General features: G+C 36.2%; 2 protein-coding genes across 15 annotated transcripts in view; one reads left to right on the forward strand and one right to left on the reverse strand.

The window, feature by feature from the left end:
- The window catches only part of GFM1 (G elongation factor mitochondrial 1), a 51055-nt gene extending 39434 nt beyond the window's left edge, over nucleotides 1-11621 (forward strand). For 8 of the 13 annotated variants that reach the window (NR_164499.1, NR_164502.1, NM_001374357.1 and 5 more), the window contains 4 exons: nucleotides 564-708; nucleotides 6203-6363; nucleotides 7179-7232; nucleotides 7376-8612. Coding sequence is in view for 9 of the 13 variants with exons in the window: in NM_001374357.1 (NP_001361286.1) it covers nucleotides 564-708; nucleotides 6203-6363; nucleotides 7179-7232; nucleotides 7376-7507 (492 nt within the window). In the remaining 4 variants the exon portion in view is untranslated. Of the gene's footprint in view, nucleotides 1-563; nucleotides 709-6202; nucleotides 6364-7178; nucleotides 7233-7375 lie in introns of all 13 variants that reach the window. The other 5 variants (NM_001308164.2, NM_024996.7, NR_164500.1 and 2 more) reach the window with 3 other exon arrangements.
- The window catches only part of RARRES1 (retinoic acid receptor responder 1), a 35566-nt gene continuing 30588 nt past the window's right edge, over nucleotides 12932-17909 (reverse strand). For both annotated transcript variants that reach the window (XM_005247686.6, NM_206963.2), the window contains exons 5-6: nucleotides 13948-14010; nucleotides 12932-13867 (exon numbers count right to left, since the gene is read on the reverse strand). In XM_005247686.6, the coding sequence (XP_005247743.4) occupies nucleotides 13718-13867; nucleotides 13948-14010 (213 nt within the window). In that variant the 3' untranslated portion in view covers nucleotides 12932-13717. The remainder of the gene's footprint in view (nucleotides 13868-13947; nucleotides 14011-17909) is intronic.

Consider the following 17909-nt stretch of genomic DNA (forward strand, 5'->3'; position numbering starts at 1 on the left):
TCAATGATAGACTGGATAAAGAAAATGTGGTACAAACACACCAATACTATGCAGCCATAAAAAAGAACAATATCATGTCCTTTGCAGGGAGGGGCATGGATGGAGCTAGAGGCCATTATCTTTAGCAAACTAACACAGGAATAAAAAACCAAATACCACATGTTCTCGCTTATAAATGAGAGCTAAATTGTGAGAACATATGGACACATAGAGGGGAACAACACACACTGGAGCCTATTAGAGGGTGAAGGATGAGAAGGAGAGGATCAGAAAAAAATAACTAATGGGTACCAGGCTTAATACCTGAGAGATGAAATAATTTATACAACAAACCCCCATGACATAAGTTTACCTATGTAACAAAACTATACATGTACCCCTGAACTTAAAAGTTAAAAAAAAAATAGTAAAGTTGTTAAACATTTTTAAAAAATTATTTTTGAGGGGTGAAATACAGCACACATAAAAACGTACACTTCTGAACACAAATATTTTGGGGTTCTTGATAATGTATCTGCAAGTAAAATCCACTCACTCCAGAAGTTGTGTTCATTCATTAACAGGGGTTTTTAGATGCCTGCGAGAAGGGCCCTCTTTCTGGTCACAAGCTCTCTGGGCTCCGGTTTGTCCTGCAAGATGGAGCACACCACATGGTTGATTCTAATGAAATCTCTTTCATCCGAGCAGGAGAAGGTGCTCTTAAACAAGGTATGCTGGGTCCGGGCACCTTAGCCTGTCTGTTTTCCTGATAGATCATCATAGCCTCAGAAGGCAACACTGTTTTCAGTCTTCTTCACCCAGAGCACTAGGCTCCACAGGGAATATTGTAGGTAGTGGGCAAATCTTTATGGACTTGAGATCAAGGTAGATTATTATGTTCTCTTTCTTGCAAAGCTAAAAGACTACTGTATTCTCCTACATTCTCTGGGGCTTTCTTTCATGTATTTGAATTCATAGATAATTTATAAGTTCTGTTTTTAATAGGGAAGACTGAAATGTTCAGAATTCTAGGAAATTTTTAAAAGGTATCTTAACTACAGTCTTATTTCTAGTGACTTATTGAAATGTCAAGAAATCCATAAATTTGTAAGTAATCTCTTCATTATGACATTGTATGCTTTTAGGCATTTTGAGGATGGCAAAGTATTTTCAAAGAATTTGGTAAACCTTATTCACAATGCAGATTTCTTGCAAAACTGCTAAAATTGTCAACATTTCTCACAGAGTAATATTTGTATTTAAATGCTGATGAACTAGAACCTTATGCAGTTGCAAACATATCTGATTCTTCGCTTTTAAGAGAAAAAAAACTAGTGACAATGTAGCAGTTTCACATCAGGATTATTCAAGAAAGGAACTTCAAAGCCATTTCCTGAAGCCAGAAAATTCCATTCTCTTTGTCATCTTTTCCATGTCCTTTATGTGAAAATACATTAGTAATGTCCACCGGTGTCTTTACACAGTAGAATTATGATTCACAAAACATTTCAGAAATATCTTTATCAAAGAGGATTAAAGTGGACAGTAGAAACTTTAATCATAATATTTCCTAAACATTCTGTAGATCAGGATTTATTGATTCTGTATGAATTTGAACTTTGTGGTGTTTTTGGTCACACTTCGCATCTGTGATCAGGTATGGGGCAGTGGTTGGGGAGGGTTGCTGATTCCTTATTTTACTTATGTTTCAGTTTCTCAGTTATGATAGGGAGATTTCCTTTATATCAGCTCTCTATTAAAAATGCAGTTGAAATTTATGATGTAGAAATCTTGTCACAGTCTGAAGATTGTGTAAATAGGAAACAGGTAAGTAAAATGACAAAGAAAATGAGACTTTATTAGGCATCACTCACATTAAAATACTTGTCTTTTTACCTCTGTGTGTTTACCACTTTAGTATGTCTTAAACTGACAAATTAGTTATAATCACTTTATATACTTTTTAGAAGTACAGTTAAAACAAATTAGAAAGTACTGATTGTTCTATGCTGGTTCTTTACTGGAAATTGGTAGCTTTCCTGGAAATAGAGGTTACATAAAGCCAGATAATTGATATGGTTATCAATTAACAAGGAGCTTCATCCTTTTTAACTGCTCCTACATTTAAATATGAGTAAATACAGATCTATGTGGCCATATATATACATAGATAAATAATGTGGCCATATACATTTTCCCACAGGATATATATAATATGTTATATATTATATGTGTATATATATTTATAGATGTATTTGTATAAAATACATATATAAAGTATATATGCATATATATGTGTATTATATAATATATGATATATAAAGTATAAAATATATATAAACCATATAAAGTATATATATAAATATATAATATGTATAATATACTGTGGGAAAAAGATACATATATAAAATATATAAATATGTTCTGTGGAAAAAATGTATATGGCCATTTTATATATAAAAAAATAAAATGTGTATATATATAATATATCTTTTAGGACTTGGATGCAATGCACCATCCAAAAATGGCAGGGTGAGTCAGGTTTGGAGCTTTGTCTCTTGTTCTAGGGTTAGAGGAAAGCATGTGTAATGGTAAGATTCATTTGGAGCTAATATATTAATATGTATTTCCTGTGGAAAAAATGTATATGAATATTAACTAAACAGTTGAATATGTACCATTTAGTTTTTTATTATTTAGGTATAGTATATATATTATTAAGTATAATTAATTGCCTATTAAATATACAGGGGAAAAACACTAGATTATAATTGAATTGAGGTTTTTTTTTTTTTTTTTTTTTTTGAGACAGAGTCTGACTCTGTTACCCAGGCTGGAGCTGGAGTGCGGTGGTGCAATCTTGGCTCAATGCAACCTCCACCTCATGGTTTCAAGCAATTCTTATGCCTCAGCCTCCCAAGTAGCTGAGATTATAGGCATGCACCACCATGCCCAGCTAATTTTTGTATTTTTAGTAGAGACAAGGGTTCACCATGTTGACCAGGGTGGTCTTGAACTCCCGACATCAAGTAATCCACCCACCTTGGCCTTCCAAAGTGCTGGGATTACTTTTCTATTTTTGAGACAGGTTCTTGCTCTGTCACCCAGGCTGGAGTGCAGTGTTATGATCTTGACTTACTGCAACCTCGAATTCCTGGGCTCAAAGTGATTCTCCATCTCAGCCTCCTGAGTAGCTGGGAGTACAGGGGCATGCCACCATGCCTGGCTAATTTTTTATTATTATTATTTTTTGTAGAGGTGGGGTATTGCTTTGTTGCCCAGGCTGGTCTCAAACTCCTGGGCTCAAGCGATCCTCCTGCCTCAGCTTCCCAAAGTGTTGGGATTATAGGTGTGAGCCACCATGGCTGGTTGAGTAGTTTTATTTTTTACAAAATATACTATGCACACAAGCAGGATGCTAGCATGAGAAATAAGTTACATTGCTGTTTCTTCATCTGATTTTTATTTCTCCATGATTGAAAGAAGTCCTCAAAACATCACACTGTATCCCCCAAATATATACAATTATTATTAGTATTATTATTTGAGATGGAGTCTCACTCTGTTGCCCAGGCTGGAGTGCAGTTGCACGATCTCAGCTCACTGCAACCTCCGCCTCCTGGGTTCAAGCAATTCTCCTGCCTCAGCCTCCCAAGTAGCTGAGATTACAGGTGCGTGCCACCACACCCAGCTAATTTTTGTATTTTTAGTAGAGACAGGGTCTTACCATGTTGGCCAAGCTGGTCTTGAACTCCTGACCTCTAATGATCCACCTGCCTCCGCCTCCCAAAGTGCTGAGATTACAGGCGTGAGCCACCACTGCGCCTGGCCTATATAATTATTATTTGTCAATTAAAAATTAAAACTTTTAGAAAACATTAGATTTGAAGTAAAAATAAAAATTAGCTTTTTCTATCCTGATTAAAAAAAGACAAAAATATAAAAGTCAGGTGAAAGGAAGTTCTTGCCACACTCAGCAAGAAAATCAACTTTTTTTTTACATACACCTCTGTTGAATGCCACATTAGAGTTTTACAGTGAAAATGTTGGTAAATGAGCTTAGTATAAGAATAGCTTATAACTGTAAGATATTATAGTTATTATAATAGTATACTATTATTATATGTTATATCTTGTCAAAATTGGAAGAACAATAGTTCAAATTCTCCCATATTCTTGATTTAAAAAATGAACACTAGAATTCATTTGAGCCTAATTTTAAATGTTTTCATGATACTGATCAGTGAGGTAACCTAAAACTGAAATGTAAAATTGACTACAGATCTGCTGGAGGAAAAATTTCTTTTAGGACTTGGATGCAATGTGGCTATTGAAAAATGGCAGGCGAGTTGGCTTTGGAATCTTATCTTATGGTATAGGATTAGAGGAAGGCATGTGTAAGGGTAAGATTCATTTGGAACTAAATCAGGGAGTAGATTTAGTGAGTTACAAGGAAGAGAGCAGGGTAAGGGGATGTGAAACAGAACCAGAAAGGCTGTCCTCAGTAATTGAGTGATGGACACCATATACTTGCCTCTTTCCTTCCCTTTACCCTTTCACAATCTAGATGTTTTACATTACTATCCTATTGAGAACATTAGATAATGTGTAACTAAATCTAGCTATATCTGCTCACATATCTCCTTCTGGGTGCTTTTTTTCATATTAATTACATTTCTTTAGAGCCAAGGAAGCTCTCCTGTTGTAAAGAAGTTATGCAAGGAATAGAACTTTTTCTATACTCTAAAATTGTTAGTGTGATTTAGATGTCCATGTAGGTTTCTGCAGGGCTTAGCCAGTGAAGCATAGGAGTCTGCAGTATCTCTTTGAGTTCAGTTATTTCTCTTTCAGAACAAAATTCACTCATTAGAACTAATTAGTCGAGGAGGGTAGGTGTGAGCTAGGATATGATTTAAATTTAAAATATTTCTAATTACATTCCTGTTGTCATAATTATTGCACTTAAGCTATACTGTCTCTAGAAGAAGCACTGAGTAAATATATAAGAAAAATTGTTAGTTTTGGTTTATTATAAACAAATTGATGCTTCTGGAAAACCTGTGATTATATTTAAACAAAATATTACCCTTGTCATCATTTCTGTGTTTTGCTGAAAGCCTTTATTTGGAGATAATGTAACAAACCTGAGGCGGAAGTATTTGTCACTATCACAACTTCCAAATTAAATGTAAATGTTTGACGTTTTATTATATTCTCTCCATATTGTTACATTTAAACATTAGCACTTTAGCAGAAAGAAGTGTTTTGGTTATGTATTAAATGGGATAAAAATAAATACAGACACACTGAGTTTTAGTGTTTAAATGGCCCAATCTAGTCCGGAATCCTTATTTTGTAGATGAAAAAATTTGAGACCTGGACAAATTGTGTTTTTCCAGAAGGCATATAGCTTCTTTGAGGTAGAGCAAAAACTAGAAACTTGATCTTCTCATTCTCAATCAGGTGATGAAATTGTTCAGACTAGAAAAGGAAAGACAGATCGTAGGCGTGGCTTGATTCTTGCTTCTGAGTATAGGAAGGGTACCCTCCACGTCCCCTCCTGCCCTGTGACAAAAATTATTTTCTTATAATTAAAAATAACTGCCTGCCAGGGACCACAAGAAAGAATGGGTTTATCCAGCCTGGCCAACATGTCGAAAGCCTGTGTCTACTAAAAATACAAAAATTAGTGGTAGCAGATACCTGTAATCCCAGCTACTCGGAGGCTGAGGCAGGAGAATTGCTTGAACCTGGGAGACAGAGTTGCATTGAGCCGAGATTGCCCCATTGTAATCTAGCTTGGGTGACAAAAAAAAAAAAAAAAGAAAGAATGGGTTTACCTTGGTCAAATTTGTAACAGTTATTATCTTTAACCCTGACGATTTTCAGAGAGAATAAATAACTCAGCTGGATAATTTAGATGGTAAAGGACTTCATCAGATGTTGTTTTAAGACCCTTTTGTATTATTCTCTGCTATTTAATGAGTTTTAAGGATAAAAATATGATAATGGAAATACCAATATTAAAATTAAATGTTGGAATTTCCATTTAGAAGAGTGACTGTTATTACTACAGGAAAAATGAGTCTAGGTCGAATATTTTAACCTTGCCGTTTGTGTTTGTACCTTTGGGAAAGCATCATTTTTCTCCCTTTTTTATATCTGGACAGAAGAGTTGTAGTTTGTATGAAGACTAATGAACTTTTTTTTTTTTTTAACCCAGCCTTGGCAAATGCAACATTATGTATTCTTGAACCTATTATGGCTGTGGAAGTTGTAGCTCCAAATGAATTTCAGGGACAAGTAATTGCAGGAATTAACCGACGCCATGGGGTAATCACTGGGCAAGATGGAGTTGAGGACTATTTTACACTGTATGCAGATGTAAGTAGTCTTGGTCATTGGCAGTCCTGCTTTTATTAACCATAGAAGGAAATCCAGGTTAGCTTTTGTTTTTGCAAATGGACACATTTCCTTGCTGAATTTGTGGCTTTATACATGTGGCATTTTCTGTAATTTGCTATTAAAGCAACTCTTAAGTGCAGAAGTTAAAAATAAGATTTATTTTATCTTGACCTTTTGTGAATGTGTCATTTTCTTAGATGTATATTATCTCTCTTTCTTGAATAAGCACAGATGGACAAATTAAAAAGAAAAGGAAAAATAAAATAAGATGTATATTATCTCTCTCATTTTAGCTTTATTTGCATAATTACTTTATTGTTATCTTTAATTTATCCCTCTTAATTACCTTGCCTGTACCTTTCTTGACTTAAATCTCAAGGGAGAAGGTGTTTATTACATTTCATAAGGCCTCCTGGAAAACACTACTCTCAGCATATCATTAAGGTGTCCAAAGGAAAGTCGTATTCACATTTTCTCAGAAGAAGCACTTCTGAGTGCTTGAGCTGGGGCTACAGAGCGGAGTGGGGATGAGGAGGGAAGGCTGTCAATGGTGTTCACTCCACGAAGTGGAAAGATTTGGTTTCTGGTTGCGACTGTCAAATGAAATAATTTTCAAATAGGATTTCCACTTGGAATAAAACAGAAATGTTTCTCTTTGGCTTTTAATTATTTTAAACTAAGAGTAGTGAGCAGAAATCTTAATCTAAAGGAATTAAATGGCTAAAATGCGTCTGTATTTTTCTCAAATATTTTCCAATAAGCAGTGCTAAAATATCTACTATGTTTGTTTTCAGGTCCCTCTAAATGATATGTTTGGTTATTCCACTGAACTTAGGTCATGCACAGAGGTAGGCAAATTTAAACTTACCCTTCAAAAGACCACCCTACAGAATGATCATATTATAAAATCTTGACCTTGTATGACTTTTACTTGATAGTTTAAAAAACAAACAAACAAACAAAAAACCCTCTCTTTTTTTTAAATCCCTAGGGAAAGGGAGAATACACAATGGAGTATAGCAGGTATCAGCCATGTTTACCATCCACACAAGAAGACGTCATTAATAAGTATTTGGAAGCTACAGGTCAACTTCCTGTTAAAAAAGGAAAAGCCAAGAACTAACTTTGCTTACTGTGAGTTGACTGACTCTAATTGAATCTGCGTGGTTTTGATACTTTGATGGATTCCAGTGGAATAAATTCAGGCTGCTGAAACAAGAAATTCTGAGCCCAGGAAGCGGGCTCTTCTTTCTTCAAAAGAAGCCCTTCTTGTTCATATTCAGGAGCTTCTGTTATATTCAAAGGTAATTCTATGTCTATCTCAACTCTATTGATTGGTTTTATAGTTCATTGAAAATCCTCAAATAAAATATAATTATTACTGAAATATGTTTAATATTTAAGGGGAAAAGAGACTAATTTCAGTTATACTTTTAAGCTTAGAATGTATGTTCATTTCCAAATTTTGTATCATAAGAGTTTTCAACATAGAGAAAAGCTGAAAAAATGCAAAGAATAACCACATACTTTCCATCTACCTTCCTTTGTTAACGGGTTGTTTATCATATAATAATTTGTTTTGTCATATTTGCTTTCACTGTCTATTATCTGTTTAAGTCTCATAACTCTATTTTTAGTTTGCTGAAGACTTGAAAGTGAATCGCATATATCATGACACTTCTTGGAGTGTCATTAATGGGCAGGCTTTTCTGTTGAAGAGTGGATTCCGTATGTTCTTCATAGAGAGTGTTTTTCAGATTCTTCATTGGGATATTAAAATATTAGCCAAATTTCTCTCTGTTTTATATATGTCTGTTTATTTCAGTTTGTGGTTTCTGCAAATTTGTAACTGCCTCTGTTTTAGGAGTATAAGTATTACTTCCTTGTGGTCTATTGTGAAGTAAAAAGTAGACCCTTGCATATACTATTCTTGTTTGTGTTCATCTTAATGTTTTTGTACAGCTAAATCAAATGTAATTTATAGAGTTAGTTTCATCAACCTAATGAATGCTAGTTAAATTTGAATTCCTTGGAATTTATCGTATATTGTATTCACTGAGATTATGAAGGGACAAATGTTAATCTTTTGTTTCCAGAAAAAGTTGGGCTTTCCCAAGCAGTTCTATTACCCGGTTCAGAATTGCTTCATCCAAAAATCATCTGATGGTATAGATGGATCCTAGTCCTTTTCATTACCTGATGGTAGAAATAAAATAATTGATTTTAAATTCCTTTGCTTTTCTTGACTTATAGACGTGGCTTTATACTTTAAGGTTTCTAGGGGAAAAAGATCTTTAAAAAGTATTGAGCACATGTTTTCAAGGCATTTGCTAAATACTTTTTTTTTTTTAATTTTTATTTTTTTGTGGTAGGGTCTCACTCTATCCCCCAGGCTGGAATGCAGAGGGACTATCTCTGCTCACTACAACCTCTGCTTCCTGGGTTCAAGCAATTATCCCATCTCAGCTGCCTAAGTAGGTGGGACTACAGGTGTGCGCCACCACTCCCTGCTAATTTTTTGCATTTTTTGAAGAGATAGGGTTTTGCCATATTGCCCAGGCTGGTCTCAAACTCCTGGGCTCAAGCTCTCTGCCTGCCCCAGCCTCCCAAAGTGCTGGGATTATGGGCATGAACCACCATGCCTGGCTGCTAAATACTTTAAATGCATTGTATAATTTCATTCTCACAACCCCGAGAGTAAGTACTATTATTATGTCCATTTTGTAATAGAAGAAGCACAGATAAGGTAAATAACTTTAATGAGACCACAAAACCTAAGTTTTTTAATTGATACTTTAATTACAATTATTCACCAAGTGCATTTCCCCCATGAATGTCTGTTGCTACAGTAGCATCAGGTCTGAAAAAATGTGGTTGCTTTGGCATTTCCTCAGCATCTTGTGACATTCACAATAACTTTGAATATTGTTCCTAATGAGGAAATACATTCTGTGTACCTTCATGGAATTTAGCATGATTCCTATGGCTATTGAGAATAGTCACAACTACTGGAACTAAACTGGATAAATAAGTAAAAAACTTACTTATTTTTAATTTGTAAAACATCCTGGTTATAATGTTACAGTGTTAGAAAAGGTCCTAGATATTTAATCCAACACCAGCATTTCATAGGTAATGATTCAGGCCTAGCTGGTGGGAGTAATTAGAATAGGTTCACAAATGGACAGATCAGGACTAGAACCCACATCTCTTTCTAAGTCATTAGTTATAGTTGGCAAAGATCACATACCAACCAAAGTCTGTAGCATGGAAAAAAATTAATGAGAATATTCATAGGTGAGGGTTGTTTATACTACTATCAAGAAGGATAATTGTTGGCTAATTCAAATATTACATCCTTGTATTGGACAACAGTAGCAGCACTAGGTAGTATTGTACTGATTCCCAACCCTCACTGTACTTTAAAAATCACTGGGGGAGCCTTAAAAAGAAATACCTAGGCCTACACCCAGATATTTAGATTATTTGGCTGGATCAAGATAAAAACTTTTTTGGGTGATTCTAATATGCAGACAAAGTTAAAGACCGCTGAAATATTGCCTGCACTGCGCTTAAGCCCAAGACATGAAATGAAAAATCTGTGAAATTCAGGAGTGTCATATTGTATTCTTTTGTGTGATATTAGAGTTTGGTTTTTTTGTTTAACAACTGTTTTTTTTTTTAAGAGATGGGGTCTTCTAAGACAAAAACCATCTGACTCAGCAATACCATTACTATATACCCAAAGGAACGTAAATCATTCTATTATAAAGACACATGCATGCACACATTCATTGCAGAACTGTTCATAATGGCAAAGATATGGAATCAACCTAAATGCCTATCACTGATAGACTGGATAAAGAAAATGTGGTACATACACATTGTGGAATACTATGCAGCCATAAAAAAAGAATGAGATCAAGTCCTTTGCAGGGACATAGATGGAGCTGGAAGCCATTATCCTCATCAAACTAACATAGGAAAAGAAAACCAAATACTGCATGTTCTCACTTATAAGTGGGAGCTAAATAATGAGAACACATGGACACACAGAGGGGAACAACACACACTGGGGCCTATTGGAGGATGGAGGGTGGGTGGAGGGAGAGGATCAGGAAAAATAACTAATGGGTACTAGGCTTAATACCTTGATGATGAAATAATCTGTACAACAAACCCCCAGGACACAAGTTTAGCTATGTAACAAGCCTGCACATCAACCCCTGAACTTAAAGAGATGGGGTCTCGCTGTGTTTCCCAGGCTGCTCACAAATTCATGAGCTCAAGCAGTCCTCTGGCCTCAGCCTCTGGAGTAGCTGGGACAAGAGGCACACACCACCATGCCTGGCTTGATAACTTTACCTTAAAAAAAAAAGTGTTCCTATTTATATAAGCTTCCAACTGACTTTCAAAAGAACTTGTTCAACTTCTAAAAATTCGTAATTCAGGTAGGAAGAAAATGAAAGTATGAATAAAATAAAATGGAATGTAGACAAAATCCCTGGTATTATTTTATATGTCTTAAGAAAGTTCTAAAGGTATTAGGAAAATGAATGTCAAGCTGTATGTAATTGTAATTAGCTAAGAGTGATTCAGAATAATTTAGACTGTTAATGAAAAGAGGACATAGGGAATAGTTTTTCATTTTATGCCAAGTGATTTTTCTGTTTTATTAGCTAGTGAAACCAATGTTGGTAAAATTAAGTTAACAATTTTAGAGTTTGTGCTAGAAAAGATATTCTGAGGCCGGATGTGGTGGCTCACGCCTGTAATTCCAGCACTTTGGGAGGCCAAGGTGGGTGGATAACCTGAGGTCAGGAGTTCGAGACCACCCTGGCCAACACGGTGAAACCCCGTCTCTACTATAAATACAAAAATCGTCCGGGCGGGGTGGCTCACGCCTGTAGCCCCAGCTGCTCAGGAGGCTGAGGCAGGAGGGTCGCTTGAACCCGGAAGGCGGAGGCTATAGTGAGCTGAGATGGCACCACTGCACTCCAGCACTCCAGCACTCCAGCCTAGGCAACAGAGTGAGACTCTGTCTCAAAAAAAAAAGAAAAAAAAGAAAAGATGTTCTGATGGTGATACTGATAAATTTTTAGTTGGTTTAACTTTTTGGGTTTTGTAAATTAATAAATTAGGTAATTGTGTTTGTATATTATTTGTATGTATAGAATTCCCCCTCATAATCTATTGTACTGTAATAAATCTGCTAAAAGGTTACCTTAGAAACATTACCTGGTTGGATTATGGATGTGTTTGTGAGCCTAATCTCAGTAATGAAAAATGCCTTTAGTGGCTCATGCCTGTAATTCCAACACTTTGGGAGGCCGAGGTGGGAGGATCCCTTTAGCCTAGGAGTTTGAGACCAGCCTGGGCAACATAATCAGCTGGTGTGGGACATCCTGGGATAGATAACCATTTCCTTCCAAAGTCAAGATAGCTGCCCAGTGAAGATCAAACAAACAAACAAAAAAAGGAAAAAAGAAAAATGCATTTATGGGGATGAGGACTTTGAGAAAGCTCCGACTCTAGAAAGCTGAAACACCAAGTAAATGCCCTTTTCTAGTCCTTAATGTGACGCTAAAAGATTGATTAAATATCATAGGACATTGAATATACTGTTGTAATGCTCTTAGGACTTTTTTTGAAGATCATTTGGGGAACTTCAGTTACAGAAATTTATCACTTGATTTTGGCATAATTTAATCATTGTGGATTATTTCTGATAATTTACAAGGAGTATCTCTTCATTATCACATAGGTGGGAGAGCTGATGTGTCTTTTAAATGATTGTTTGCAATGCTTCCAAATACCTACAACTCTTTATTTTTATATATATATATATGTATTTTTTTAAATTAAGACTGGATTTCACTATGCTGCCCAGGCCGATCTTGAACTCCTGGGCTTAAGTGATCCTCCTGCCTTTGGCCTCCCAAAATGCAGGAATGAGCCACCACACCCAGCCACAAATCTTTAAATCATTAAACTTTTTTAAAGAGATGGAGTCTCACTATGTTGTCCAGGCTAGTCATGAACTCCTGGGCTCAAGTGATCCTCCTACCTCAGCCTCCCAAAGTGCTGAGATTACAGGCGTGAGCCATCACGCCCAGCCGTTTTTTTTTTTTTAATTAAAAAAATTTTTTTTAATTGTAAATCAGCTGGATTTTGGGAAGATAAATGCAAAGCATAGGGTTTTAAGTAGAAAAATATATAAACTAGATCAGCTTATTTTATTTTATATGAGTTCATGCCTTCTTTAGTGTAAACTTTTCTGATTGTCTAACAGTGCACACTTAGAAGTAATGTTTTGGTATGTTTTAAGGCTGATATTTCCTAATCAGTTACTGGCTACAGAACCTGGCTCAAGGTTTTTACACACCGACATAAACATTCCATTAAGTGATACTAATTTTGAGAGGCAAATGATGACAACATTTCCTGGATCAATGCCTCCTGCCTTAAGGAGGTACTCCACTGAATTTGATTATTGTACATACTGTGTTTGCCTTTATAAATTACTTAGGCCAACACTCAGTCCAAGTTGTCCTTGTAAATGAAAATTGTAAATATTTAATATACTTTCAGTTACATCAGTGTTTCTTTTGATGCATGTTTGCAGACAGCTTTATCTGGTGAGACAGACGTTCTATTATTTGTAAAATTTAAGTTAAGCAATATTACCATTTCATTTAATTCCAGTTTAGCACAAATTTTTCCTTTGTATACAAATCTTCACGAGAACATTCAACACATTTCATTATTTAGAAATGTAAACATTTATTTAAAAGTAGGTAGCAAGTTAAAAATGAATACTTGCCTGAAATCATAAAACATAATCAAGTTCTTTTTAAAACAGTTAATTTTTTTCCTATAATTTACTTTCATCGAAAGTATATTATCTTTGTTTAACATGCTAGATAGAAGCAATTTAGCAACATAAAATATATTAGCTATAGTATGTTCAAAAGAATGAGAAATATAAATTCAGAGATGAGACCATCATTTTTTGCAGTTAAAAAAAAAATGCTGATTCTGGTGCAACATACACTGATTATCCAGGTTTTACATTTTAGGGCTGAAACCCTGAGGAACCTGCTGGTGACTGTTTAGCACTGAGCAGAGTTCAGTGTGCATGCGCTTCCAGAGTTAAAAGCTAAAGCAGACTGAGAAACAAAAAACCAACATCTTTGCATTTCTGAGTTTTTACTTGTAATCATAGGTTTTCCCAAATTATTAGAATGTCTATACCTTAGCTGTTTTACTAGAAGAATGATTTATGCTAGTATAGTCACTTGTTTAGAAGTCGGAAAAAGATCATTTTTTCTTTTTAGAAATTACTAAGCTCTGTTGGTACTACAGCTGATCCTTCTTCAGTTCCGGAGGCTTCTTCTGGTGTCTGTAGCTCTTGACAGTGGTACTTCACTTTAAGAGGTTTGCCAGGGTACCAGACCAAGTGAATGCGACAGGGAATTATTTCCTAGGAAATAGAGTTATAAAATATTATAATCTGCAAAAACTTATGGTAAAAACAATTCTACATACAATGTTATGTTTTACCTGTGTTGATAATTCATGAAGTAGAACAGTATAATCAAAATCAATTGTATCATCATTAGTTTTCTAGAGGGAGAAAAAAGAGTTAGTGTAATAAATATGGTGGTATTTAGTGTAATAACTATACAATACATTCTTGTTTTGAATGGGTGCCTTGTGTCTCCTACTGCCTTTTCGATTTCAGCCTCACGGTTTTTGGTGGTATTTTGCTTCAAGATATGGAAGTCATGGATCCTCATTTTTGTCTTGTCACTGAGTTATATGAAAGTCTGGTTGAATGTCTGTCACTTTTTCTGATGGAGACCAAAGTCTGTGGGAATAGGGAGATTCTTTTAACAACCTTAAGGATCTAGATACTGTATATATACCTCAAGCTGATATATTAGCCCTGATATGACAGGCAATAAGACAAGGGGAGGGGCAATCAGTAATTCTAGAAGGTCCACCATGGGCTGGGTTCTGTGCTAGGCACCTTCTACATGTTCTCATCTAATTCTCCTTTACAATCTGTGTATTATGAGCCTGGTTTTACAGGAGAGGTAATTTGAGATTACAGCTAGGAAGGGACAAATGGGAATTCCAACCCAGATCTACTGACTCCAACACCCACATTCTTCATATATACCACATGAAGCTATACACGCTGTTTCTAAAACCAGTGCATTGGATATTTTTCAGTAGGCAGGCAGTTGTCTTCATCTCTTTTATTCACATCGTTTCTGTACATTTTACTAGTGACTAAACCAACTCCATATTTTCTTTCTGACATTTCCTTTTTTTTTTTGCAAGAGTGCTTATCTGTTCACTAGTAAAAATGGAAGAAAGAACATTTTTTAAAAATACCTTAATTTGGATTATAATTTGAGTCTTTTCCTACTATAACTGAGTACTCCATTTTTCTAAGAGAAAGAGAATGAGTTACTTAAAAAACAATTTTTTTCTTTTCTCTTTCAGCCTTTTTCCCTGTTCTCTACTTCCTGCTTAGCTCTTTAGAAATGGAATCATAACTTTTACCTTCCCTTTTACCAGACACTCCCTGCATGGCAAGCTTATGTATGTGCTCACTTCAATGCTTGAGAGCTGGGACTCTCTCCCACCAGGAGAAGGCCTTAAGAGACAACAGTCAATTTACAACCTCAGTTAGGCCCATGAGGGAACTCTGTCCAAGTGTCTTGAAACAATGGCCATTTTACAATCTAGCTCTGCCCACAATGGCGTCAGCTTGACCATCGGGTAGATAAGGCACCCAAGAAGTCACATAGACCGTGCACCTGCTTGCACCCTCTTCTGCATGCCATTTATGCCAAGTCCCCCTGTAAAAGCCCTTGTTTTTTGTCCCAGAAGGGAAACAGTACCTTAAAGGCAGGAGCCTATACTTCTTCCCCTAAGCTAGCTTTGGAATAAAGTCACTTTCTTCGTACCAGACCTCACTCTTGTGAATTGGATTCTGCAAGCAGCAAGTGATTAAACTTGTATTTTCGTTACATTACCAGGTTTCTATTAAGAATACTAAAGAATACAAAAAAGCAACCCCCCCCCCACCAAAAAAGTTTAGACTCCCCTTTGCCTACATTGATGGAGATTTTTACCAGCCGTGAAATGGCCAGTAGGTGAAGTCTGGAGGGAAGATACAGGCTGGAATCCTAGTATTTGTTTTAAGCTCTGCCTCTTCTTTGCCTCGCTGAAGACTGCCATGATTTCCTTCAGAAATGCCTGAAGGAAAGGAGGCATTTCCTTCCCCAGAGGGCCTGGATAAATCAGAAATCAACTGCATTTTCTATGATTCTTCTTGGCAATAGTCAGTAGGTTTCCCTCGTCTCTCACAGTGTACCCACGAATGTTCAAAGCAAACATCTGAGGCACAAGCTGGAAAGTCAGAGAATTCATGAGAGAAAATTCAGTGTCTCTTTCTTAAGGGAACAGTTACTGGAGGTTCCAGTGATCAGTCTGGCATTGTCGCTTTGAGGGTGTGTTTAGCCTTGTTAGACCTTCATTTGGTGGCTGTCTTGACCTTGGAAGGACATGATTATCTATCCCAAGATGTCCCACACCAGCTGGATATTTGTCTCAGACTTTTGTGCTGTCTGCACTATTTTTCAAGTCTTGACTGTTTACCATGTATTTTTATAATTTAAAAATTGGTTTTAGGCTGGACATGGTGGCTCATGCCTGTAATCCCAGCACTTTGGGAGGCCAAAGTGGGAGGATCACTTGAGCCCAGGAGTTCGAGACCAGCATGGGCAATATTATTATTTTTTAATAGAGACCACCTCGTCTTTATTTAAAAAATAATAATAAGTGTGTGTGTGTGTGTGTGTGTATATATATATATATAAATTGGTTTTACTTATACACTTAAAATGTTTTTTTGAGAACAATGCCTTATTCTGCGTTTGAAAATGGCATTTCTGAAGGAAATCATGGCAGTCTCCATTGAGGCAAAAAAGAGGCAGAGCTTAAAACAAATGTTAGGATTCCAGCCCCATTTGACAGACTATTTTGGTAAAAGCACAAAGAGTGTTACCCATTTTTAAATACAAAATGTGAGTCGTGATAATGCTGGTAAAACCCTCTATCATTTGATTGAGAACTTCCTCAATAAAGTTATCGAAACATCCCCTTACATTTTTGTTTTTATAGATTCCTCCTCCTTTAGGAGGAACCACCTTTAAACCAAACCAAAAAGCACAGCTTATTTAAAAAAATGCAGAAGAGGACATTGCACATCCCAGCCTGGCAAAGGATGCCAAGATTGGACTGCCCTCCCCATGTCAAGCTCTGCCAAGAAGTCATTATTTTTAATATTATTCAGAAATTATCTTTTTGGCTTCAATTCAGATCATCACAAGTGCCAAATCTTGTAGCCCAAATGGATGATGATTTGTTGTTACATTTCCTGGTAACTCAGCACTTAATCTTGTTGCAGACAGACTGGAAGTGTTTTGTTTGTTCCCTTTTACTTGGTCATAACCCAACCCACCCCATGCCCCTCCACCCTGCTTCCCCCAAAAGGGAGCAAAGGATCTCTAACAGAACTAGGGTGGTTTTAGTAGAGAAGAATTAGATTTGTTAGTAATAGAAGTTATCAAAAGTAGATTTCAGCATAATAGATAAGGTAGATAGGATGGTTTCTATATGTAGCTTTGGCTAATGGAGACTTCTACTTAATGTGAAGATGAGCTGACTGATAGTGATGTGCTGCAGGTTAGATAGTTTGGGGTGCTTACAAACCTGGTACTGATTGATAAGAGTTAGAACAATACTCAGCTTGACGTTTCTCAATTCATATTAAAGGCTAAAGGTACGGGCTTATCCATTTTTTTCCCTAGCCAGCATATATCCCGTGTTCTTGGCACTGTCCTCATAGTATTGGGAATGACATCTATTCTTCAGTTCTAAGGAAAGAGTTGTGCCAGTAAGATGTGTCTTACTTTATATTTGCATTTCAGTCTTTCTTTTTTTTTTTTGCACACTCTTCCCTCAGGCCTTGTTCATTTGGGGCTGTGAGTTTATAAGCTTGTACTTCTTTACACAATTGCATTAAAAGGTGAAATTAGCCCTGAGTATCAAGATAGTAATTCCCAGAAAGTTTTTGGAAAAATTATAATCTTCATACTTTTTTTGAGCTACCTTGGGCCAAGAGCACCTCCAGTCACTTCCTGCCTCCGTGCCATACTGGCTTTCTCAGCCCTAGTGTCCTGTTGCTAGTCTCTCAGAACAGTATTTAGACCTTCTGCTCATAGTGTCTTTTTAAAAATCATTGCTTGTTGCTTGTGTTGCTTCTTTTGATGAAGGGTCACAGGAGACCTTAGTGGCCACTGAATAGCAGAATTTGAAAATCTTTGTGGATATGTGCATACTTTTCTTTAAAAGAACTCTAAGCTGAAATGCGTGTCAGCCTTGAAACCAAATATCCTAATTGCTCCAGGGATTTAAATTTGTATTAGTTTAACTTCAATCCGTTT

This window comes from Homo sapiens, chromosome 3 (genome assembly GCF_000001405.40).
Source record: "Homo sapiens chromosome 3, GRCh38.p14 Primary Assembly".
NCBI classification, from domain to species: domain Eukaryota; kingdom Metazoa; phylum Chordata; class Mammalia; order Primates; family Hominidae; genus Homo; species Homo sapiens.